The sequence below is a fragment of the Homo sapiens genome, chromosome 5, assembly GCF_000001405.40.
Source record: "Homo sapiens chromosome 5, GRCh38.p14 Primary Assembly".
Taxonomy (NCBI): Eukaryota; Metazoa; Chordata; class Mammalia; order Primates; family Hominidae; genus Homo; species Homo sapiens.
In genome coordinates, this window is record NC_000005.10 from 60,410,624 (window position 1) to 60,435,972 (window position 25,349).

Here is a 25,349-nt window from a genome sequence, read left to right on the forward strand (position 1 = left end):
AATATCATCTCATTTAATCCTCAGCAACCACACAAAGCAGACACTATGACTGACTTCCATTTTACAATGAGGAGAGCTAGTCTAAGGTTAAGCAACTTTCCAAAGCTCTTACAGCTGTCAAGTAACAGAACTGTCAAAGATTTTCATGCTTGGCCACTGCAGGTATTGCCTCCATGTCCTTGATACAGGCTCTGTGATAATATGATGGCAATGAGCCTCAGACATTTATATTTATTTTAAAAACATAAGGCACTTGCCATGGGAGAGACACTGTTCTTACTGCTTCTAACAGGAATTCATTTAAACTTCTCAATAATCATATGAAGTAGGTACCATTACCCCATTTTACGTATGAGAATAGTGAACTAAAAAAGCTGCATACTTTTCCCCAGGTCAGTTTTGCAGCTAATACATGGAAGAACTGACATTTGAACATAGGCTGACTGGCCCTAGAGAATGGGAGATGAGATATTAACTGCTGCACTGGACAAAGAGGGAGTCAAGCAACTTGGTAAGTTCTAATTTTTTCAAGTCACACTCATTCTAGGTTGTAATAAAGCATGCACTGGTATAATTTTCATTGCTGATAAAAAGGATAACTTCCAGAAGGGTTCATTTTCCATTAACTGTAAAAATCTATGTGAAAATAGTTACAACTGGTAGCTATAACCAAAATAGGTTATGATGTTTAAAGGAAAAACGGACTAAAAGACTAGCTTAAGTATAAAGCAAACTTATGTAAGGGCTAGAACTATCCTGGCCTTTCACGTGTATTATTACCACCACTGTATGACATAACCAGAAGAAATTCAGACATGTCACAAAGGGAAGTATCACATAAGTGTTAGCTAATCTCATTATCATCATCATCATCATTGCAATTATTATATAAAACCAAGGCATCACAATATATGAAAGTAATCACCATGTAAAAAGAATTTTTCAATGCATACATTTATTTTATACTAAAAGCAACGAATTTCACATTTTAACATTATTTCCGAATATTTAAGTCCAATTCAAACCATTTAGCTCTAAAAAAGTAAAATGACAATTTAAAAGATCGGCTCTAAATCAGGGATTAAAAACCAGATCTAAATGAAGGAAAACGTGAGTGAAATTAACCCTAAAGTTAGAAATATATTTTTCTTATTGCTGCAATAACTAAGCTATGATCCAATGGTGTTCCCCAGATATTTTCCACCTTTCCTAGAAATCTCAATTTACATACTAGTTTGTTCCACTGCTACTGACCCAACCACCCGCAAAAAAGGTGGCTAGATAGGTGTTATATTGACCACAATCTTTATCTTCCCAAAGATTCCCCATGCCAAATTATATTCAAAAAGATTAATATTTTAAGTCACTAACTTAATAAAACAGTACAATTCTTAGAGTAACTATCTCTTTTTAGCTGAGGGTTTTTATCCCAGTGAAGGAGCTGTTGGCTTGTTTTTGTTTCTTTCACTTTTCTTGAGGTTTTCTCCATTCATGGCTGGGTTCATCTGTACATTCAGTCTCAGGACAATAGGACTACAATTATACGTGTCTTCAAAAGAACACTAGGAAAATGTTATCTCCACTATTCCATCTTGCAAGTAGATCAACTAAAACACAAAGAAATTAGGGGAAAAAACAGCCAAGGGAGACTGAGACCAATAATTTTGTTGCCGTTACCCAACACTGCATCGTTTTTATAGACATATTTACACATTCACTTGAAAGAGCAATCCAGAAGAGATAGAAAAACCAGTCAATATCTTTTTAGAGAGCCTTACTCCATCTGGAGGTATTTGGGCAGTCTCAAATAATTTAGTGTAGTATTCTACCACATTCCACCTTGTTTTTGTCTTTTTTCTGCATGTCTGGATCACTGATTTGTATTATTCCCAAGGAGACAGAACTTTTTCTCAAATCATCCTCGTTCTTCGATGCTTAGTTCAAACCCTGCATGTTTTGTGTATTCACATAGATACTTATAGCAAAAGGATTCCATCACCCAGAATTATGTTATTGGTTCTAGAAAAGTACAATACTCCTTATGTTTCCAATGATGACTATGAGGCACTCCAAGATCTTAAGTTATTTACTAAATCATTTTGTTAAGTTTTTCTGTTAATTTTATGTCAATTATTTTGGTTATTTAAAAATATGTAACCACTGTAAGGTAATAACAGCCAGCTGATTGTTTTTTATTTGCCAAAGCCTATAGCATTATTTCCTATAACCCTTACAACAAATCCTTAAGGTAGGTTTTAATCAAATACTTTTTATAGATAAGGAAACTAAGGCTAGGCTAGAGGTGGAGTCATTTGCTAATGACTAGGTGAATATTAAGTCATAATACCAGGATTTAGATCCACTTCAGTCTGATTCTAAAATGATGACTTTAACTACAACATTATATAGTTGAAGTCATGGAATATATGTATAATTCATTTAACTAAGCTATTTAATAAATGCAAGCTCCTTCATCCCCTCACTAGCTGAGCTCACAAGCACATAACGTTCATGCTATCAACAGTTTTATTTATCCCAGGACATACTTCCTAGATTATATTCCTACTGACTACTGTAGCTTACTTTCATTACATCATTCACTCAAAAACCCTCAGGATTTTTAGAGAGCAATATACTTTATAACATTACCTCATCAAACCTATAGGCAGAAAAAGGTATATTGTCAGGTCTGTTTTCATTTAAATCCACTTTTTTTCCAATCTGAAGGAGAAGCATCCCTTGCATGCATATTGCTCTATGTTTTACATTGGTCCCAAAGGTACTCACACACAATAGACTTCCAGAGCCTTTCATTTTCTGAAGATGAGAGGAGGAAGGAGGAAGGAGAAGGAGGAAGAAACGAAAGGAGAAATAGATGGGAAGACTACACAGACTCAGGAACGCAGTGGTGCACACTTGGTAAAAGGGCATAAGGTACTTTTAATATTTTGCACTAAGCCTTGTCATTCCTTCCACCTTCATAAAACCAGATTCTAAAAGGGCCAAAGCCTATCCTTATAAATTCAGAATGCCATGGATGTAAGAGAATTTGGGAGTGGTTTGTTTTAATTTTGAATTTCTTTTTTCGTTTATTTTTTTTTTTTTTGGAAAAACAGCTTAGAAACTTCAATCTGGTGAAAGTATCATTGACTTACATTGGGTTGTTTCAGCCCTGCATCAGATCCCAAAGTAACAAATAATCTTAATGTAACTACTATTTCCATCCAACCAGTTATAAGCATCTCCTAACCCAAAGAACACTTCCAGATTTTTCTTGCTGCTTTATCAGAGTTCAGGTTCACTTTGTCAAACTTTTTACAGTTCTAAAATAGAAAACAGAACCGATGCCCTATGTCTTACAATTAATTGCATGCACTTCTGTTTGTTCCACCAAGTTTCTCGACAGATACAATTTCTCCCCTTTCGAAGGTAAGCAGAAGGGGTCATGTATTCCTTAGTACATGCTGTGATAACAGTCCTTGTCTGTCATACACAGTAGGGCCGATGCTAAGACGAATCTCCTCAAATAAACAAACCAAAGCTTCTGTGCACTAGCAGTCCTTGGTTTTGTACTTTATACCAATTATATACCATTTCTGCCATATTATCCATACATTGTTTTTATATTCTTTAGGTAGTTTTTATGTGTTAATCTGCCTCCCTAGAGAATGCAAATAATAGTCATAAAAACAAAAATTGATATTATTGAGTATTTTTATGGGTCATAAAACTCTATTAAGATTTTTTATCTTAACTGTTTTTGATCACACTATTAAGATATGCATTGCCCATCCAGAGATAAAGCTACTTAAAAATAAAATCAAATTAAAAAGTTAAATATACATACACACACAAAGACAGGCAACTATAATTTGGACCTATTATAAAAATTCTCCCTGGCATCATTCCAAGGGACATATATAAGTTAAAGATCAGCAAAGTATTGCTTTCAAGGAGAAAGAAAAGACAGAATATGCAACCTACTTCTGTTGGTACACACAAGGCTACAAAGCAGTTTGCTGGTTAACACTCCAGGTATCTGGAGTAAACCAATCCTAGCTATTTTCTGAACTCTTTCTTTTAAGTGTTATAAATATGGTAATAAGGAATAACCAAGAAACAAAGTTGTGCCTCTTATGTAAACCTACTTGTAATGGAATTACATTAAATCTGGGAGTCATTCCACATGACAGCCTTCACTTACCTATCTAAGGTCATAACATCCCCAAACCAAGAAGCACCTACCCGGACAAATTCAAAGTGCCTCTTCGTCTCTGGTATACGTTTTAAAATCTCTCCTTGGTTAAGACACAGGAAGAAGGGAAATGAAATTTGAGTCTTAGGGTAATCATTTGCCATTGGGCAGACCCACATCAAGCTAGATGCCAGTACCTTGTCACATGGTAGGAATGCCTAAGTGGTTGCACTCAACCTGGGTGAGACAACTGGAAGTCCAAACCTTTAAAGTGCCACTGAAAGGGAGCAATCAATGGTACTCATTAATGTGCATGGGTTCCCTTCTTTCAGCACCTATTTCCTAGACCCTCTGCATCTGATCAGGCTATGAGACAAGTTCTAGCCAATAGAATGTGAATGTAAGTCATATGTACCCCATCCAGACCTGGTTCCTAAAACCTCCAAACCACCTATTAAGAGGTGACAGCATGCTGACAGCCCTCACAGCCCTTGCTGGCTCTCAGCGCCTCCTTGGCCTTGGCGCCCACTCTGGCCGTGCTTGAGGAGCCCTTCAGCCCTCCCCTGCACTGTGGGAGCCCCTTTCTCGGCTGGCCAAGGCCGGAGCCGGCGCCCTCAGCTTGCGGGGAGGTGTGGAGGGAGAGGTGCAGGCGGGAACCGGGGCTGCGCGGCAGGCACTTGAAGGCCAGTGCGAGTTCCGGTGGGCGTGGGCTTGGTGGGCCCGCACTGGGAGCGGCAGGCCGGCCCCGCCACCCCGGGCAGTGAGGGGCTTAGCACCTGGGCCAGCAGCTGCTGCACTCAATTTCTCACCAGGCCTTAGTTGCCTCCCCACGGGGCAGGGCTCGGGACCTGCAGTGCGGCCACGCCTGAGTCTCCCCACACCCCCACCATGGGCTCCTGTGCAGCCCGAGCCTCCCTGACAAGCGCTGCCCCCTGCTCCAGGGCGCCCAGTCCCATCCACTGCCAAAGGGCTGAGGAGTGCAGGCGTAGGGCGCGGGACTGGCAGGAATCTCCACCTGCCGCCCGGTGCGGGACCCACTGGGTGAAGCCATCTGGGCTCCTGAGTCTGGTGGGGACTTGGAGAATCTTTATGTCTAGCTAAGGGATTGTAAATGCACCAATCAGCACTCTGTATGTAGCTCAAGGTTTGTAAACACACCAATCAGCACCCTGTGTCTATCTCAGGGTTTGTGAATGCACCAATCAGCACTCTGTATCTAGCCCAAGGTTTGTAAATGCACCAATCAGCACTCTGTGTCTAGCTCAGGGTTTGTAAATACACCAATCGACACTCTGTATCTAGCTAATCTAGTGTGGACATGGAGAACTTTTGTGTCTAGCTCAAGGATTGTAAATGCACCAATCAGCACACTGTCAAAACAGACCAATCAGCTCTCTGTAAAACAGACCAATCAGCTCTCTGTAAAATGGACCAATCAGCAGGATGTGGGTGGGGCCAGATAAGAGAATAAAAGCAGGCTGCCTGAGCCACCAGTGGCAACCTGCTGGGGTCCCCTTCCACACTGTAGAAGCTTTGTTTTTTCACTCTTTGCAATAAATCTTGCTGCTGCTCACTCTTTGGGTCCACACTGTCTTTATGAGCTGTAACACTCACTGCAAAGGTCTGCAGCTTCACTCCGGAAGCCAGCGAGACCACAAACCCACTGGGAGGAACGAACAACTCCAGACACCCTGACTTAAGAGCTGTAACACTCACCGCGAAGGTCTGCAGCTTCACTCCTGAGCCAGCAAGACCACGAACCCACCAGAAGGAGGAAACTCCGAACACATCCGAACATCAGAAGGAACAAACTCTGGACACACTGCCTTTAAGAACTGTAACACTCACCATGAGCGTCCGCGGCTTCATTCTTGAAGTCAGTGAGACCAAGAGCCCACCAATTCTGGACACACTATCATACACTCTTCCTTCAGAGAAATTAATATCCAAGACTCTGGGGCTTTAGAGGATAATGAACTAGGTAAAAACAGCTTGGGAATCTGAATAACTTTGTGGAACATGCTGTGTCCCACTTTACCCCCAATCCACATTGTAATGTGATACGAACAAGAAATAAATATGTAATATATAAAGCCATTGAGATGTAGGGATTGGCCTGTTAAAGTCTTCATGCTACCATGACTAATCACACTGTGCGATTCCATCTACAAATGGCCTACATGGTTATTAATTAATCAAACATCCAATTTACCTGAAGTAGATGTCCAGACTCATTTGTACTGCCAGAACAGCCAGAACATGAAGTAGTCATGGTAATAGCCACAATGGTGTTTGGGCAACCAGATTTTAAAAACTGATTGACAGCAATTGAAAAGACCACATAAAGCAAGTGTGCCCAGAGAACAGCCTCTCTCAATTCTGGGGCGGATTCTCCCCACAGATTTATCTTGTTTAATCTGTGAGATGAGTACAATTGTATCACGGATGAGAGAACTGAGATTTAGTGTACCTCACCCAAGATCATCCAGCCTACATCTGTCTGCTTGAGTTCAGATCCTACACTCACAACCATTGCACTCCTGGAGGGCAAAAACCAGACTTCTGCATATCTTTGTTCTGTTTTTTGTTTCCCTCACACAGTTCTAAGCCTAGAGCTTAGTAGTGCCAGTAGTACCAGTTAATACATTCTCCAAAGAAGCTAACACACTTGTTTCTCAGAGGAAAAATCAACTACATTCGCAACATCTTTTCAAGCCATTCAGTTACAGTGTTTTATAATAAGTTGGAACAATAGGCCAGGAAGGGTATTTGACAGGAGGACATAGAAGAGTCAAAGGCAGGTGGCAACAGGAATCTCAACATGGGAGGATGGGGCTTGGGGGCTTAGAGCTTTAGAATATAAAGAAGAATTTTTTTTAGAAAGCAGTTACCAAGAAGAAGAAAAAAAACTCTTCTGAATGGGCTCTTTTGAGTGTTGATTCCACAAGTATAGTACAACATCGTGTTGGGACCACACAGTTTAAAGTACTAACAGATTTAGAGAAAGACAAACACATGAGAAATGTCCTTGTCTATAATGTTTAAATGGTCAGGGTTTAAAGGGAATGCAAGAGAGAGGGAAAAAAAAAACACTCTAAGCTAACATTAAAGATAAACACTTCCAAATTTCATAACAATGAGTTCACAATTCACTTTTCAGTATACTGCAGACAAGAACCTGAAAAAGAGACTCCTGAATTACCTAGTGACAATTTAATGTTCCAGGAAGTGGAGAAGATTCCATCAGAGTCACTGTTTCCACAGGAAAACATTGATTCGGAATGTTCATTGAGTAGCTAAGTCTTGTCACAAATATCTTTAGCTCCTCAAATTCAGAAGAGCAAGTGAGGTAAAGGGAAAAAAAACAAGAAAGAAAGAAAAGCTAGAAAGCTCACAGGACATGATTCCATACAGAATTAATAAAGTTAGACTGTGCATTTGAAAGACACGAGTTCAAATTGGGAACAGGCTAGCATATGTTATATCCCTATTTTTAAAGCACAAAAAGGGGAGAATAATTTGAAAATCAGACTGACTAAAATGGAAATAAAATTGCACTTTTAAAATGGATATTATCAGCTGATTCGTGCCCTGGAATATTAGGAAAATCAACCACAGCAACCACAGTAATAATAATAACTCTAATTTATATAAATCGCTGCTGCTTATCTTATTTGTTTTTTTGTTTTGTTTTTTATCCTTCTATAGACTATTTTCCTTTATTTTCTGTGTGACTCTTTTTGTCTTTTTTTGTACTTTAAATTTTTTTATTTTTAATTGTTCTGGGTACATAGTAGGTATAATATATTTATGGGGTACATGAGATGTTTACACAGAGACATGCAATGTGAAATAATCACATCATAGAGAATGGAGTATCCATTCCCTCAAGCATTTATCACTTGTGTTACAAACAATCCAGTTACACTCTCGGTTATTTTTAATTGTAGAAATAAGTTACTAACTCTAGTCACCCTGTTGTGCTATCAAATAGTAGGTCTTATTCATTCTTTCTATTTTTTCCTCATTAACCATCCCCCTCCCCCTTAGCCCCCTTATTTGTTATAACAAGAAACTTGTAAGTTAATCAGGGAAAGATTATTAAAAGATTAAGATAAACATAAGAATAAAAAATAGAAGCCAATTTTGTAGATGTACCATGGAGAAAATGGATACTGCAGGTAAAACAAAAAAGTCAGCATTCCTCCCATACATTTTTAACGAGGCTACAGCCACTAACACAGCTGCTGGAGGGAAATTTGGCAACATTTAACTAAGTAACAAATGTGCATACATTTTCAGGTAGCAATTGCACTTTTATGAATGTATCCTACAGATATACTGGCATATACCAAATGGTTTACCCAAAGTAGTTCATGAAGCATTGTTTATAATAACCAAAAAGTATGAGTAAAAATAGGAATCTGGTGAGATAATTCATGGTATTTCATAAAACTGAGTATCATGTAGCCCAAAAAAGAATGTAGAAATTCTTTATATATTAATATGTATAGCCTCCAAGATATGTCATTAAGTAGAAAAAAGACAAAACACAAAAAAATATAAAGTATGCACATCATGCTATCATTTATGTGAGGAAAATAAGAAGAGGGAGAGGATTTCATATATATCTAAAATATGTCTGAAAGGGAACAAAAAGAACTGGTAATATCTATCACCTCTGAGGAGAAGAATTAGGCTACTAGATTAGAAGAGAGATTTTTTGCTACATATTCTTCTATAGCCTTTGAATTTTATTCATGTGAATCAATAAATACATTCCCTGATCAAAAATAAAATGATTAGAATTACAAATTTTTTAAGATAGGCAGAATGCATTGTAAACTAGAAACAATTGCAAATCAAATTGATACCTATATATTTCTGCTTCCAGCTATGATAGAGTAACTAGTAACAGATTATCTGTCTCACAGAAAATACTTACAAAACTAAGTAAAATATATGAGGCAACCGTTTTCAAACAGTGGCTAACAAGCCAATCCAGAACTGAAATCCCTCTGCCCACGAATGTCCACCTCTGTGAATAAGGATATTTTCCTAAACATGACAAAAAGAGCTGGAGTCTGAGGCAGCTGGCATGGCTGGCATCTATAAAGCAGAGTCTTAGAGAGTAAAGACTTTAACACAGAGAAGTCTCAGAAGTTTTGCAGAGATTTGTCCCAGACATGGGACAAATCTGTGACTGAGATCACCACCATACATTTGCAGAGTGAGAATACTGGAGGCTTAACAGAGAGAAAATGTTATCAGGTTGAGAGAACAGAAATAGTGGAGGTCAAGTAATGCTGGAAGAAGAATAGTACTAGACATCATTGCAGTTCAGGTCCTATGGGTTTGAGAGAGCTCATAAATAAATACTACTTTGACACCCCTGGGATCTACCTGAGAAACAGAAAGTTGGTACCTCTCTACAAGTAAAGACTATGTCCTAAAGTAAGTCCTATGACTCCAGTAAAGTCTAAAACAAAGCCTATCATCAAGAAAAACATCCTCTATCAACACTGAATACTGCCAGGTTGAATAGGTTGGGAAAGCACCTGGGATTTCTCAAAGATTTGGACTAACAAAGCCTAAAACCATGCTTAAACATGTTCAACGTGATCAGCCAATTGAACAGCATGCTAAGATAACAAGCAAAATTCTTCAGAAGAAAATAACACAATCCAGAGGCATGATAACACATTGTCCAAAATGTCCAGTATGCAATAAAAAATCACCAGATAAAGAAATAAGATCTCCATTCCAAGATGGCCAAATAGGAACAACTCCAGTCTGCACCTCCCAGCGTCATCGATGCAGAAGATGGGTGATTTCTGCATTTCCAACTGAGGTACTTGGTTCATCTCATTGGGACTGATTGGACAGTGGGTGCAGCCCATGGAGCGGGAGCCAGCGCAGGGTGGGGCATCGCCTCACCTGGGAAGTGCAAGGGGTTGGGGGATTTCCCTTTTCTAGCAAAGGGAAGCCATGACAAACAGGACACTCCCGCCCAAATACTGCGCTTTTCCCACTGTCTTAGCAACCAGCAGACCAGGAGATTCTCTCCTGTGCCTGGCTTAGCAGGTCCCACACCCATGGAGACTTGCTCATTGCTAGCAGAGCAATCTGAGATTGACCTGCGAGGCAGCAGCCTGGTGGGGGGAGGGGTGTTCACCATTGCTGAGGCTTAAGTAGGTAAACAAAGTGGCCAGGAAGCTGGAACTGGGCAGAGCCCACCACAGCTCAGCAAAGCCTACTGCCTCTATAGACTCCACCTCTGTGGGCAGGGCATAGCTGAACAAAAGGCAGCAGAAGCTTCTGCAGACTTAAACATCCCTGTCTGACAGCTCTGAAGAGAGCAGTGGTTCTCCCAGCATGGCGTTTGAGCTTTGAGAACGGACAGACTGCCTCCTCAAGTGGGTCCCTGACCCCCACATAGCTTAACTGGGAGACACCTCCCAGTAGGGGCTGACAGACATCTCACACAGGCAGGTGCCCCTCTAGCACGAAGCTTATGGAGGAAGGATCAGGCAGCAATATTTGCTGTTCTGCAGCCTCCACTGGTGATACCCAGGCAAATAGGATCTGGAGTGGACCTCCAGCAAAATCCAACAGACCTGCAGCTGAGGGACCTGACTGTTAGGAGGAAAACTAACAAACAGAAAGGAATAGCATCAACATCAACAAAAAGGACATCCACACCAAAACCCCATCTGTAGGTCACCAACATGAAAGACCAAAGGTTGATAAAACCAAAAAGATGGAGAGAAACCAGTGCAGAAAATTTAAAAATTCTAAAAACCAGAGTGCCTCTTCTCTTCCAAAGGATCACAGCTCCTCACGAGCTATGGAACAAAGCTGGACGGAGAATGACTTTGACAAGTTGACAGAAGTAGGCTTCAGAAGGATGGTAATAACAAACTTCTCCAAGCTAAAGGGGCATGTTCTAACCCATTGAAGGAAGCTGAAAATCTTTAAAAAATGTTGGACGAATGGCAAATTAGAATAAACAGTGTAGAGAAGACTTTAAATGACCTGATGGAGCTGAAAACCACGGCACGAGAACTTCGTGATGCATGCACAAGCTTCAATAGCCTGTTAGATCAAGTCGAAGAAAGGATATCACTGACTGAAGATCAAATGAATGAAATAAAGCAAGAAGACAAGTTTAGAGAAAAAAGAGTAAAAAGAAACAAACAAAGCCTCCAAGAAATATGGGACTATGTGAAAAGACCAAATCTACGTCTGATTGATGTACCTGAAAGTGACGGGGAGAATGGAACCAAGTTGGAAAACACTCTGGAGGATATTATCCACAAGAACTTCCCCAAACTAGCAAGGCAGGCCAACATTCAAATTCAGGAAATACAGAGAACATCACAAAGATACTCCTCAAGAAGAGCAACCCCAAGACACATAATTTTCAGATTCACCAAGGTTGAAATGAAGGAAAAAATGTTAAGGGCAGCCAGAGAGAAAGGTCGGGTTGTCCACAAAGGGAAGCCCATCAGACAAACAGCAGCTCTCTCAGCAGAAACCTTATAAGACAGAAAAGAGTGGGGGCCAATATTCGACATTCTTAAAGAAAAAAATTTTCAACCCAGAATTTCATATCCAGCCAAACTAAGCTTTGTAAGTGAAGGAGAAATAAAATCCTTTACAGACAAGCAAATGCTGAGAGATTTTGTCACCACAAGGCCTGCCCTAAAAGAGCTCCTGAGGGAAGCACTAAACATGGAAAGGAACAACTGGTACCAGCCACTGCAAAAACATGCCAAATTGTAAAGACCATCGACACCATGAAGAAACTGCATCAACTAATGGGCAAAATAACCAGCTAACATCATAATGACAGGATCAAATTCACACATAACAATATTAACCTTAAATGTAAATGGGCTAAATGCTCCAATTAAAAGACACAGACTGGCAAATTGGATAAAGAGTCAAGACTCATCAGTGTGCTGTATTCAGGAGACCCATCTCACATGCAGAGAAACATATAGGTTCAAAATAAAGGGATGTAAGAAGATCTACCAAGCAAATGGAAAGCAAAAAGAAGCAGGGGTTGCAATCCTGGTCTCTGACAAAACAGACTTTAAGCCAACAAAGATCAGAAGAGACAAAGAAAGGCATTACATAATGGTAAAGAGATAATTCAACAAGAAGATCTAACTAACCTAAATATATATGTACCCAATACAGGAGCATCCAGATTCATAAAGCAAGTCCTTAGAGACCTAAAAAGAGACTTAGATTCCCACATAATAATAATGGGACACTTTAACACCCCATTGTCAATATTAGACCGATCAACCAGAGAGAAGGTTAACAAGGAAATCCAGGACTTGAACTCAGCTCCGCAACAAGCGGGCCTAATAGACATCTACAGAACTCTCCACCCCAAATCTACAGAATATACATTCTTCTCAGGACCACATCACACTTATTCTAAAATTGACCACATAATTGGAAGTAAAGCACTACTCAGCAAATGTAAAAGAACAGAAATTACAAAAAACTGTCTCTCAGACCACAATGCAATCAAATTAGAACTCAGGATTAAGAAACTCACTCAAAACTGCTCAACTAAATGGAAACTGAACAACCTACTCCTGAATGACTACTGGGTACATAATGAAATGAAGGCAAAAATAAAGATGTTCTTTGAAACCAACGAGAACAAAGACACAACATACCAGAATCTCTGGGACACATTTAAAGCACTGTGTAGAGGGAAATTTATAGCACTAAATGCACACAAGAGAAAGCAGGAAAGATCTAAAATCGACACCTTAACATCACAATTAAAAGAACTAGAGAAGCAAGAGCAAACAAATTCAAAAGCTAGCAGAAGACAAGAAATAACTAAGATCAGAGGAGAACTGAAGGAGATAGAGACACACAAAAAACCCTTCAAAAAATCAATGAATCCAGAAGTTGGTTTTTTGAAAAGATCAAAAAAATAGACTGCTAGCAAGACTAATAAAAAAGAGAGAAGAATCAAATAGATGCAATAAAAAATGATAAAGGTGATATCACCACTGATCCACAGAAATACAAACTACCATCAGAGAATACTATAAACACCTCTACACAAATAAACTAGAAAATCTAGAAGAAATGGATAAATTCCTGGACACATACACCCTCCCAAGAATAAACCAGGAAGAAGTTGAATTCCTGAATAGATCAATAACAGGCTCTGAAATTAAGGCAATAATTAATAGCCTACCAACCAAAAAAAGTCCAGGACCCGATGGATTCACAGCTGAATTCTACCAGAGGTACAAAGAGGAGCTGGTAACATTCCTTCTGAAACTAATCCAATCAAAAGAAAAAGAGGGAATCCTCCCTAACTCATTTTATGAGCATCATTCTGATACCAAAGCCTGGCAGAGACACAACAAAAAAAGAGAATTTTAGACCATTATCCCTGATGAACATCGATGAGAAAATCCTCAATAAAATACTGGCAAACTGAAACCAGCAGCACATCAAAAAGTTTATCTGCCACAATCAAGTCAGCTTCATCCCAGGGATGCAAGGCTGGTTCAACATGCTCAAATCAATAAACCTAATCCATCACGTCAACAGAACCAATGACAAAAACCACATGATTATCTCAATAGATGCAGAAAAGGCCTTCAACAAAATTCGATAGCCCTTCATGCTAAAAACTCTCAATAAACTACATAATGATGGAATGTATCTCCAAATAGTAAGAGCAATTTTTGACAAACCCACAGCCAATATCATACTGAATGGGCAAAAACTAGAAGCATTCCCTTTGAAAACCAGCACAAGACAAGGATGCCCTCTCTCACCACCCCTATGCAACTTAGTGTTGGAAGTTCTGGCTGGGGCAATCAGGCAAGAGAAAGAAATAAAGGGAATTCAATTAGCAAAAGAGGAAGTCAAACTGTCCCTGTTTGCAGATGACATGATTGTATATTTAGAAAACCCCATCATCTCAGCCCAAAATCTCCTTAAGCTGATAAGCAACTTCAGCGAAGTCTCAGGATACAAAATCAATGTGCAAAAATCACAAGCATTCTGATATACAAATAACAGACAAATAGAGAGCCAAATCATGAGTGAACTCTCATTCACAATTGCTACAAAGAGAATAAAATACCTAGGAATCCAACTTACAAGGGATGTGAAGGACCTCTTCAAGAAGAACTACAAACCATTGCTCAACGAAATAAAAGAGGACACAAACAAATGGAAGAACGTTCCATGCTTATGGATGGGAAGAATCAATATTGTGAAAACGGCCACACTGCCCAAGGTAATTTATAGATTCAATGCCATCCCCATCAAGCCACCAATGACTTTCTTCACAGAAATGGAAAAAACTACTTTAAAGTTCATATGGAACCAAAAAAGAGCCCACGTTGCCAAGACAATCCTAAGCCAACAGAAGAAAGCTGGAAGCATCACGCTACCTGACTTCAAACTATACTACAAGGCTACAGTAACCAAAACAGCATGGTACTGGTACCAAAACAGAGATATAGACCAAGAAATAGAACAGAGGCCTCAGAAATAACACCACACATCTACAACCATCTGGTCTTTGACAAACCTGACAAAAACAAGAAATGGGGAAAGGATTCCCTATTTAATAAATGGTGCTGGGAAAACTGGCTAGCCATATGTAGAAAGCTGAAACTGGATCCCTTCCTTACACCTTATACAAAAATTAATTCAAGATGGATTAAAGACTTAAATGTTAGACATAAAACCATAAAAACCCTAGAAGAAACCTAGGCAATACCATTCAGGACACAGGCATGGGCAAGGACTTCATGACTAAAACACCAAAAAGCAATGGCAACAAAAGCCAACATAGACAAATAGTATCTAATCAAACTAAAGAGCTTCGGCATGGCAAAAGAAACTACCATCAGAGTGAACAGGCAACCTACAGAATGGGAGAAAATTTTTGCAATCTACCCATCTGATAAAGTGCTAGTATCCAGAATCTACAAAGAACTTAAACAAGTTTACAAGAAAAAAACAAACAACCCCATCAAAAAGTGGGCGAAGGATATGAACAGACACTTCTCAAAAGAAGACATTTATGCAGCCAACAGACACATGAAAAAATGCTCATCATCACTGGTCATCAGAGAAATGCAAATCAAAACCACAGTGAGATATCATCTCACACCAGTTAGAATGGCAATTATTAAAAAGTCAGGAAACAACAGATGCTGGAGAGGATGTGGAGAAATAGGAATGCCTTTACACTTGGTGGGAGTGTAAATTAGTTCAACCATTGTGGAAGACAGTGTGGCGTTTCCTCAAGGATCTGGAACTAGAAATACCATTTGACCCAGCCATCCCATTACTGGGTATATACCCAAAGGATTATAAATCATTCTACTATAAAGACATGCACACGTATGTCTATTGCGGCACTATTCACAATAGCAAAGACTTGGAACCAACCCAAATGTCCATCATTGATAGGCTGGATTAAGAAAATGTGGCACATATATACCATGGAATACTATGTAGCCATGAAAAAGGATGAGTTCATGTCCTTTTCAGGGACATGGATGAAGCTGGAAACCATCATTCTCAGCAAACTATCACAATGACAGAAAACCAAATACCACATGTTCTCACTCATAGGTGGGAATTGAACAATGAGAACACTTGGACACAGGGTGGCGAACATCACACACCAGGGCCTGTTGGGGGGTGTGGGGGGTGGGGGATGGATAGCATTAGGAGAGATACCTAATGTAAATGATGAGTTGATGGGTGAAGCAAACCAACATGGCACATGTATACATATGTAACAAACCTGCACGCTGTGCGCATGTACCCTAGAACTTAAAGCATAATTTAAAAAAATGAAAATATGATACATAGGCAAGCAAAAAAGCAGTAAATACAAACAAATCTCAAAATTACCCAGATATGTCCAAACAAAGAATCTAAAGCAGCTTTTGTAAATATGTTAAAGAATTTTAAATATATATGTCCAAAGAATGACAGGAAATATGATCTCAAGGAGTGAATAGAGGAGTCTAGGCAGAGAAAATAACCAAATGAAAATTCTAGAACTAAAAAAAAATAAAAATGAACAATTTAGTGGACAGGTCTGAATAGCTGATTAGAGATGGCAGAAGAAAAGAGAACCTAAAACAGATCAGTAGAAATTATTTAATCTTAGAAAGGAAGAGTGGGGAAAATAATCAGGAAGATGAACTAAGATTTAGGAATAGGTAGGACAATACCAAATAGTCTTAACGTAAATGTAATTGGAATCCTAGAAAGAAAAGCGAGTGAGAATGGGCCAGAAAAAAATATTTGAAGGAATAACAGCTGAAAACTTTTCAAAACGATCAAACAGATCCAAGAAGTTTAGCAAACCCCAAGAAGAATAAATATAAAGAAAACCACACCCAGGCACATTGTAGTAAAACTGCAGCACATCCAAGATAAAGAGGAAATATTAAGGGCATCCAGAGGAAAGACACACATTACGTACAGTTGAACAAGGATAAGAATGATCATGGGCTTATGAGAAACAGTGGGGACTGAAAACCCCAATGGCATGGAATTTTTAAATCGCTGAAAGGAAAAACGAAAACAAAGCTGTTAACTCAGAACTCTACAACCAACAAAAATATTCTTCAAAAATGGGAAGAAAATAAAGGCACTTTCAGATAAATAAAAGCTGAGAAAATTAATCACCAGCAGACCTACACTATAAGAAATACAAAAAGTTGAAGATAACTGATACCAGATGGAAATTCAGATCTACAGTAAGAAAGAAAAAGAGCACTGGAAATGTTAAGTAAATTACTAAATATAAAGTAGTATGTTTTCTTTCTTAGAATTTCCTTAAAGACTACTATTTAAGGCAAAAGTGAAAACACTCTAAGGTTGGGGTTATGACATGTTAAAATAATGAATATGACAATAACCATACAAAGAAAGGGAGATGAGGCCAGGTGTTGTGGCTCATGCCTGTGATCCCAGCACTTTGGGAGGCAGAGCAGGGAGGATCATTTGAGCCCAGGAGTTTGAGACCAGCCTGGGCAATATAGTGAGACTTCATGTCTACTAAAAATAAAAATAAAAAATTAACTAGGTGTGGTGGCACATGACTGAGTCCCAGCTACTCAGGAGGCCGAGGCAGGAGGACTGCTTGAGCCCCAGAGTTTGAGGCTACAGTAAGCCATGATTGTGCCATTGCACTCCAGCCTGGGTGAGAGCAAGACCCTGTCTCAAAAAAATAAAAAGAAAATAAAAGAAAGAGGATGACTAAATTGAAATAAAATGTTGTAAGTTTACTACATTTGTCAAATGTTAAGTGTGAAATGTGGAGAGGTACAATACTGAGTATGAATAGATTCTAATGCATAGGGGCTGCATATTTTTAGCCCTTGAGCAATCAAGAAAATTAAATTAAAAAGGAAGATAAATGATAAACAGAGAGATAAGGGGGTATAACTAAAAGCCAATAGAAAAAATAAAATGGCACACTAAAAAATATTCAAATGCTCTGAAAAGAGCAGGAAAGAAACAACAGAGGAACAAAAAACAGAAGAGATAATGAGAAAAAAAAAAAGTTTGATACCTGGTGTTTAGTGGAATTCACTCAATAAATTCATTCATGCAATGAGAGGCTACTATACTGATGCCTGAAGGTATGTAAATGTTCATAAGCCTTGCCTCCTACTCTCAAAAACCTTACAATTATACATGCGACTATGCAACAAAATGGCATATGAAAAATACAAATAAAATTATAGTTATCACTGAGGACTTCCTATATACTGAAAATCCTACTAAATGCTTCACAAATAGTATTTACTTCTCACGATGATATAAAGAATTTTCATAATGTAGGTATCCTTGGCCCCACTTTGTAGATAAAGTTGGATGTAAGCTTCATGACAGCACAAACCATAAATATTATTTACCATTGTGTTACCAATGCCTTACAATTTGCACACATCTAATACAAGCTTAGTAAGAAGCTATAAAAAGAATAAGTGAATGGCAAAGGATATAATAATCTACTCAAAGTCATGCTGAGAACCAGAATTTGGAACCAGACAGACTTCGGTCCAAAGTCCTTGATACTAACAGTTAGGATCCCAAAAGGCAATAACTTGGGTGACAATACATCCAGTTTACACAGGATAGTTCCAGTTTATGATTATTGTCCCAATGTGACTACTAATAGTTCTCCCATTCATTCACCCTCAAAAAATGCCAAATTTGTATGATAAATGTTATGGTTTCTCTAGCTATAAGATTTCAGAGGAGATTCTTCCTATCCATGAGCATGGAATGTTTTTCCATTTGTTTATGTCATCTCTGATTTCTTTCAGCAGTGTTTTGTAATTCTCATTGGAGAGCTCTTTCACTTCACTGGTTAGCTATATTTCTAGATATGTTATTTTTTGTGGCTATTGTGAATAGGATTATGCTCTTGATTTGGCACTCAGCTTGGACATTATCGGTGTAGAGAAATGCTACTGATTTTTGTATCCAGAAACTTTGCTGAAGTTATCTAGGAGCTTTTGGGCAAAACTATGGGGTTTTCTAGGTAGTTTGACAGAGGTAGTTTGATTTTCTCTCTTCCTATTTGGATGCCTCTTATTTCTTTCTCTTCCCTTATTGCTCTGGCTAGGACTTCCAATACTATGTTAAATAGGAGCAGTGAGAGTGGGCATCCTTGTCTTGTTCCAGTTCTCAAGAGGAATACTCCCAGCTTTTGCCCATTCAGTGTGATGTTGGCTGTGGGTTTTGTTGTGGATGGCTTACTATTTTGAGGTATGTCCTTCAATGCCTAGTTTTTTGAAGGTTTTTAACATGAAGGTTGCTGAATTTTATCAAAAGCCTTTTCTGCATCTATTGAGATGATCATGTGTTTTTTGTTTTTATTCCGTTCATGTGGTGAATCACATTTATTGATTTGCATATGTTGAAATCAGTCTTGCATCCTAGGGATAAAGCCTGCTCAATGGTGGTGGATTAGTTTTTTTTTTTTTGTTTTTTTTTTTAAACAATTTTATAACTTTATTTGGTATATTTGATGATTAGCAGTTAGTTCACATTCACACCGACTGTAGATTTTTTTAAAGTGGTAACAGGTACGTAGGCAACCAAAGTATAGAGCTTGTTTGGTAAATCTTTATCTTCATTACATTTTCTGGACAACCGAACATGGATACAGTATGAGACGTTGCTTATTCCTTTGGCCCAGACAGCTTTGTTGAGCCTGGTATCAAAGTGTGCATCTGGAGTTCCCATCTCCTTCAGGGCAAGTTTCCGGAGCTCTTTGAGTGCCTGAGGGGCACGCTTCTTGAAGCCCACTCCATGAATGCACTTATGAATGTTGATGGGATATTCTCGGGTCACCATCTCGTTGATGGCGAATGACCCTTCTTCTTCTCATCACCCTTCTTTGCAGGAGCCATTCTGCCGGGCCCAAGTTGGAAAGGAAACTGGCCACTATTCTTACATCATAATCAGTAGTAAAGCTAGTCTCATCTTCCACTACTTCCCCTCTTCCTCCCTCTACTCCAGCCCCTTGGCCTTGCTTCTTTCCCTGAGGGCCTCGACCCTAGCTTTCCCTTCTGCCTCGCATGCCATTCCCCCAGATATCCTTCTGCTTGACTAATTTCCTTGTCTCCTGCAAGTTCTTAGCTCAAACCTTTCTTTTTTGTTTGTGTTTTGTTTTTTTTTGTTTGTTTTTTTTTTTTATTGATCATTCTTGGGTGTTTCTCGCAGAGGGGGATTTGGCAGGGTCATAGGACAATAGTGGAGGGAAGGTCAGCAGATAAACAAGTGAACAAAGGTCTCTGGTTTTCCTAGGCAGAGGTCCCTGCGGCCTTCCGCAGTGTTTGCGTCCCTGGGTACTTGAGATTAGGGAGTGGTGATGACTCTTAACGAGCATGCCGCCTTCAAGCATCTGTTTAACAAAGCACATCTTGCACCGCCCTTAATCCATTTAACCCTGAGTGGACACAGCACATGTTTCAGAGAGCACAGGGTTGGGGGTAAGGTCACAGATCAACAGGATCCCAAGGCAGAAGAATTTTTCTTAGTACAGAACAAAATGAAAAGTCTCCCATGTCTACCTCTTTCTACACAGACACAGCAACCATCCGATTTCTCAATCTTTTCCCCACCTTTCCCCCCTTTCTATTCCACAAAACCGCCATTGTCATCATGGCCCGTTCTCAATGAGCTGTTGGGTACACCTCCCAGATGGGGTGGTGGCCGGGCAGAGGGGCTCCTCACTTCCCAGTAGGGGCGGCCGGGCAGAGGCACCCCTCCCTCCCGGATGGGGTGGCTGGCCGGGCGGGGGGCTGACCCCCCCACCTCCCTCCCAGACAGGGTGGCTGCTGGGCGGAGACGCTCCTCACTTCCCAGACGGGGTGGCTGCCAGGCGGAGGGGCTCCTCACTTCTCAGACGGGGCAGCTGCCGGGCGGAGGGGCTCCTCACTTCTCAGACGGGGCGGTTGCCAGGCAGAGGGTCTCCTCACTTCTCAGATGGGGCGGCCGGGCAGAGACGCTCCTCACCTCCCAGACGGGTTCGCGGCCGGGTAGAGGCGCTCCTCACATCCCAGACGGGGCGGCGGGGCAGAGGCTCTCCCCACATCTCAGACGATGGGCGGCCGGGCAGAGACGCTCCTCACTTCCTAGATGGGATGGAGGTCGGGAAGAGGCGCTCCTCACTTCCTAGATGGGATGGCGGCCGGGCAGAGACGCTCCTCACTTTCCAGAGTGGGCAGCCAGGCAGAGGGGCTCCTCACGTCCCAGACGATGGGCGGCCAGGCAGAGACGCTCCTCACTTCCCAGACGGGGTGGCAGCCGGGCAGAGGCTGCAATCTCGACACTTTGGGAGGCCAAGGCAGGCGGCTGGGAGGTGGAGGTTGTAGCGAGCCGAGATCACACCGCTGCACTCCAGCCTGGGCACCACTGAGCACTGAGTGAACCAGACTCCATCTGCAATCCCAGCACCTCGGGAGGCCGAGGCTGGCAGATCACTCGCGGTTAGGAGCTGGAGACCAGCCCGGCCAACACAGCGAAACCCCGTCTCCACCAAAAAAATACGAAAACCTGTCAGGTGTGGCGGCGCAGGCCTGCAATCGCAGGCACTCGCAGGCTGAGGCAGGAGAATCAGGCAGGGAGGTTGCAGTGAGCCGAGGTGGCAGCAGTACAGTCCAGCTTCAGCTCGGCATCAGAGGGAGACCGTGGAAAGAGAGGGAGACGGAGACCGTGGGGAGAAGGAGAGGGAGAGGGAGAGGGAGAGGGGATTAGTTTTTTTTATGTGCTGCTGGATTCAGTTTGCTAGTATTTTGTTAAGGATTTTTGCATCTATGTTCATCAAGGATATTGGTCTGAAGTTTTTACGTTGTTGTTATGTCTTTGCTTTGTCTTTGCCAGGATGATGCTGGCCTCATAGAATGAGTTAGGGAAGAGTTCCTCCTCCTCAATTTTTTGGAATAGTTTCAGTAGGAATGGTACCAGCTCTACTTTATATGTCTGGTAGAATTTTGCTGTGAATCTGTGTGGTCCAAGGCTTTTTCTGGCTGGTAGCCTTTTTATTACTGATTCAATTTTGGAACTTGCTATTGGTCTGATCAGGGTTTAAATTTCTTCCTGGTTCAGTCTCGAGAGGTTGAATGTTTTCAGGAATTTATCAATTTACATATGCAATGCTATTCCTGTCAAATGAACAATGATATTCTTTACAGAACTAGAAAAAACTATTCTAAAATTCATATGCAACCCAAAAAGAGCCCAAATGGCCAAAGCAATTCTAAGCAAAAAAGAATAAAGCTGGAGGAATCACATCACTTAACTTCAAACTATACTTCAATGCTACAGTAACCAAGACAGCATGGTATAGGTACAAAAATAGATACATAGACCACTGGAACAGAATAGGGAGCCCAGATATAAACCCACACACTTACAACCATCTGATCTTCAACAAAGTTGACAAAAACAAGCAATGGGGAAAGGACTCCCTATTCGATAAATGGTTCTGGGACAACTGGCTAATCATATGCCAAAGACTGAAACTGGACAGCTTCCTTAGATCATATACAAAAATCAACTCAAGATGGATTAGACACTTAAATGTAAAATGTAAAATTATAAAAACCATTGAAGAAAACCTAGGAAATACCATTCTAAACATAGGCCCTGGCAAAGATTTTATGATGAATATGCCAAAAGCAATTGCAACAAAAACAAAAATTGACAAGTGGGACCTAATTAAACTAAAGAGCTTCTGCACAGCAAAGGAAACTATCAACAAAGTAAATAGACAACCTACAGGATGGGAGAAAATATTTACAAATTGTGCATCTGGCAAAGGTTTAATATCCAGAATCTATAAGGAACTTAGACAAATTGACAAGCAAAAAAACAAACAAGCCCATTAAAAAGTGGGCAAAGACACTTTTCAAAATAAGACATTTACACGGCCAACAAGCATATGAAAAAATACTCATCATCACTAATCATTAGGGAAATGCAAATCAAAACCACAATGAGATATCATCTCACACCAGTCAGAATGGCTATTATTAAGAAGTCAAAAAGTAACAGTTGTTGGTGATACTGCAAAGAAAAGGGAATATTTATACACTGCTAGTGGGAATGTAAATTAGTCCAGCCACTGTGGAAAGCAGTTTGGCAATTTCTCGAAGAACTTAAAACAGAACCACCATTTGACCCAGCAGTCCTATTATTGGGTATGTACCCAAAGGAATATAAATCATTCTACCATAATGATACACACATGCATATGTTCATTGCAGCTCTATTCACAATAACAAAGACAAGGTATCAACCAAAATGGTCAACAACATTAGACTGAATAAAGAAAATGTGGTACATATACATTATGGAATACTATGCAACCATAAAAAAGAATGAGATCATGTCCTTTGCAGCAACATGTATGCGGCTGGAGGCCATTATCCTAAGAGAACTAACACAGGAACAGAAAACCAAATACTGCATGTTCTCATTTATAATTGGGAGCTAAACATTGAGTTACATGGACACAACGAAGAGAAGGACAGACAGCGGGGCCTATTTGAGGGTGGAGGGTAGGAGGAAGGTGATGATCAGAAGACTACATATTGGGTACTATGCTCATTACCTGGGTGACGAAATAATATGTACACCAAACCCCCAAAACACACCATTTATCTATTAGAGCAAACTTAAACATGTGCCCCTGAAACTAATATTTAAAAAAAAAAGATTTCAGAGGAGAAAGCTCTCTTTGATTGACATGATCAGGAATCTTCATTTAAGAGATGACACTTGAATTCAGCTTTTTAAAAAATAAATAGGATTTGCTATGCAGACAAGAGGTTAAGGCTTAAAAATTGAAAAGAGTTCTGTAACTTTAAGAAAACATGACATGAATTTATAAATGGTTGTAAGATTCGGCACTGTAAGAAATCTTTAAATAAAAATTATTGTTCACAGACTTTCATAAGTGATGGGGATTGAAAGCTTTCTAAATTATCAGAAACCAAAGGCTGATAACAAAGACTACTGTGTAACACATCTCACTGGGCTGAGGGGAAGACACCAGAACATGTCTCTTTTTTTTTTAATATTTGTGTGTTTTAAAAGGCAGAGTCAGTAGCATGAATTGTATAGATTACTCTAATTTTAAAGGCAAAAGTAAGAAAGATTTAATGGATTTAAATGGACACAAAAAGAGGTAACATTAACCAAAGTGGTTTTCAATTAGTCGGACACAACTTAGTTTTACTTGTTAAATACAATTTGTAATTCAGATATTATGCAGAAAACAAAGCTCATAGGCATCCTAATGGTTTTTAGTTGTAGAATCTGAATCCATTCCTAAATCTCTCTGATTCCATCTCTCACTCAAACCTCCAGATTTCAATGCACCAACAATGATGAGTTTGAATGGAAAAAATCAAGGTACAAAAAGAAAGGCCAGGGCTTTCCTCTCTCTCCCTTGCTCTCAGGGATGGGTCTGTATGTCAAATTAAGAGTATTGAACCCTGCAAAGAAAATGCTGATGGAGATACAGAAATGAAAAAGGGAGTTAGAGATTAACTGCTTGGAAAAAATAATGATTTATAAATATGTTCAGAGTATACTTTGTCAAGAGCACTGACTTATGGCATGAAATTAAAGGGAAGTAAACATGGGTCAAGAAACTGGAAGGACAATTATGAGATGTGTTTGCCATTAGCCTGTAAACTTCTATAACAGAATTGTTGTCTAAGAGATACAAAAGTAGTTCCTTTATGTCTGCAATGTAAAACCGAACTTGAAAAACTATCTAAGAATATTCAGTACAGATGGTTCCTTTTGAATGATGGGAATTACTAGAACAATGTGTTATGCATTTTTCAACTCTGATTACTAAATCTCTATCCTGAATTTCTTTGGCACAAAAAGCATTTTAAATCAAACAACTAGAGCATATATTTAAATTGTTTAAATCTTCCCTTTTTCTAAAGTACCTGCTTGATAGACACAACTTAACATATAACTTAAATGTTTAAATTTCCAGAGAATCTTTAAGATGTTTTAGAAAGTTCACAGCTTTTCATTTGTTTGGCTTTTTTATTTTTACTCCTAACAAAAAGTTTAGGTTTACATTTGGAAGCTTTATGACAATTGGTGTTAGTTATGAAGATGATTGTCTCTTGACTCTCTTTGCTTAGAAGTCTATGGAGCATGTAGCTTTCAAGATTTTTTTTTGAAACTGAAGCCCAATATTTTATTTCTAATTGGGGAATACCTCTTTCTATTTGCAACTTGAATAAATGAGAGAATTATTTAGGACGTGAAGATTAATGAAGATTCAAGAAGATGAATGTCTCTTGACTCTCTTTGCTTAGAAGTCTATGGAGTATGTAGCTTTCAAGATTTTTTTTTAGAAATTAAAGTCCAATATTTTATTGCAAATTGGGAAATACCTCTTTCTATTTGCAACCTGAATAAATGAGAGAATCATTTAGGACAAGTTGAGTGTTCTTCCATTGCAGACTTTCTTAAGCTAACATTTATTAAACAGAACAAAAAAGACAGATCTTTAATTTTTCAGAGCCTCCAGGGCTGGTTTATAGGTTTCAGGACAATTCAGCTAAGAAGC

The 25,349-nt window shown here is 39.6% G+C and overlaps 1 protein-coding gene and 1 pseudogene across 11 annotated transcripts in view, besides 2 other annotated features; both read right to left on the reverse strand.

The window, feature by feature from the left end:
- The window catches only part of PDE4D (phosphodiesterase 4D), a 1,553,091-nt gene that overhangs the window by 1,441,586 nt on the left and 86,156 nt on the right, over nucleotides 1–25,349 (reverse strand). The window lies entirely within an intron of this gene.
- Nucleotides 4,258–4,916: an enhancer, noted in NCBI's record as "H3K4me1 hESC enhancer chr5:59710708-59711366 (GRCh37/hg19 assembly coordinates)". NCBI's record gives its function as "activates a minimal SCP1, AML or CMV promoter by ChIP-STARR-seq in naive H9 embryonic stem cells {active_cell/tissue: H9 hESC(naive)}" and the evidence as "EXISTENCE:reporter gene assay evidence [ECO:0000049][PMID:30033119]".
- Nucleotides 5,916–6,025: an enhancer, noted in NCBI's record as "active region_22585". NCBI's record gives its function as "activates an Ori minimal core promoter by ATAC-STARR-seq in GM12878 lymphoblastoid cells {active_cell/tissue: GM12878}" and the evidence as "EXISTENCE:reporter gene assay evidence [ECO:0000049][PMID:35858748]".
- Nucleotides 19,309–19,679, reverse strand: RPL31P8 (ribosomal protein L31 pseudogene 8; annotated as a pseudogene).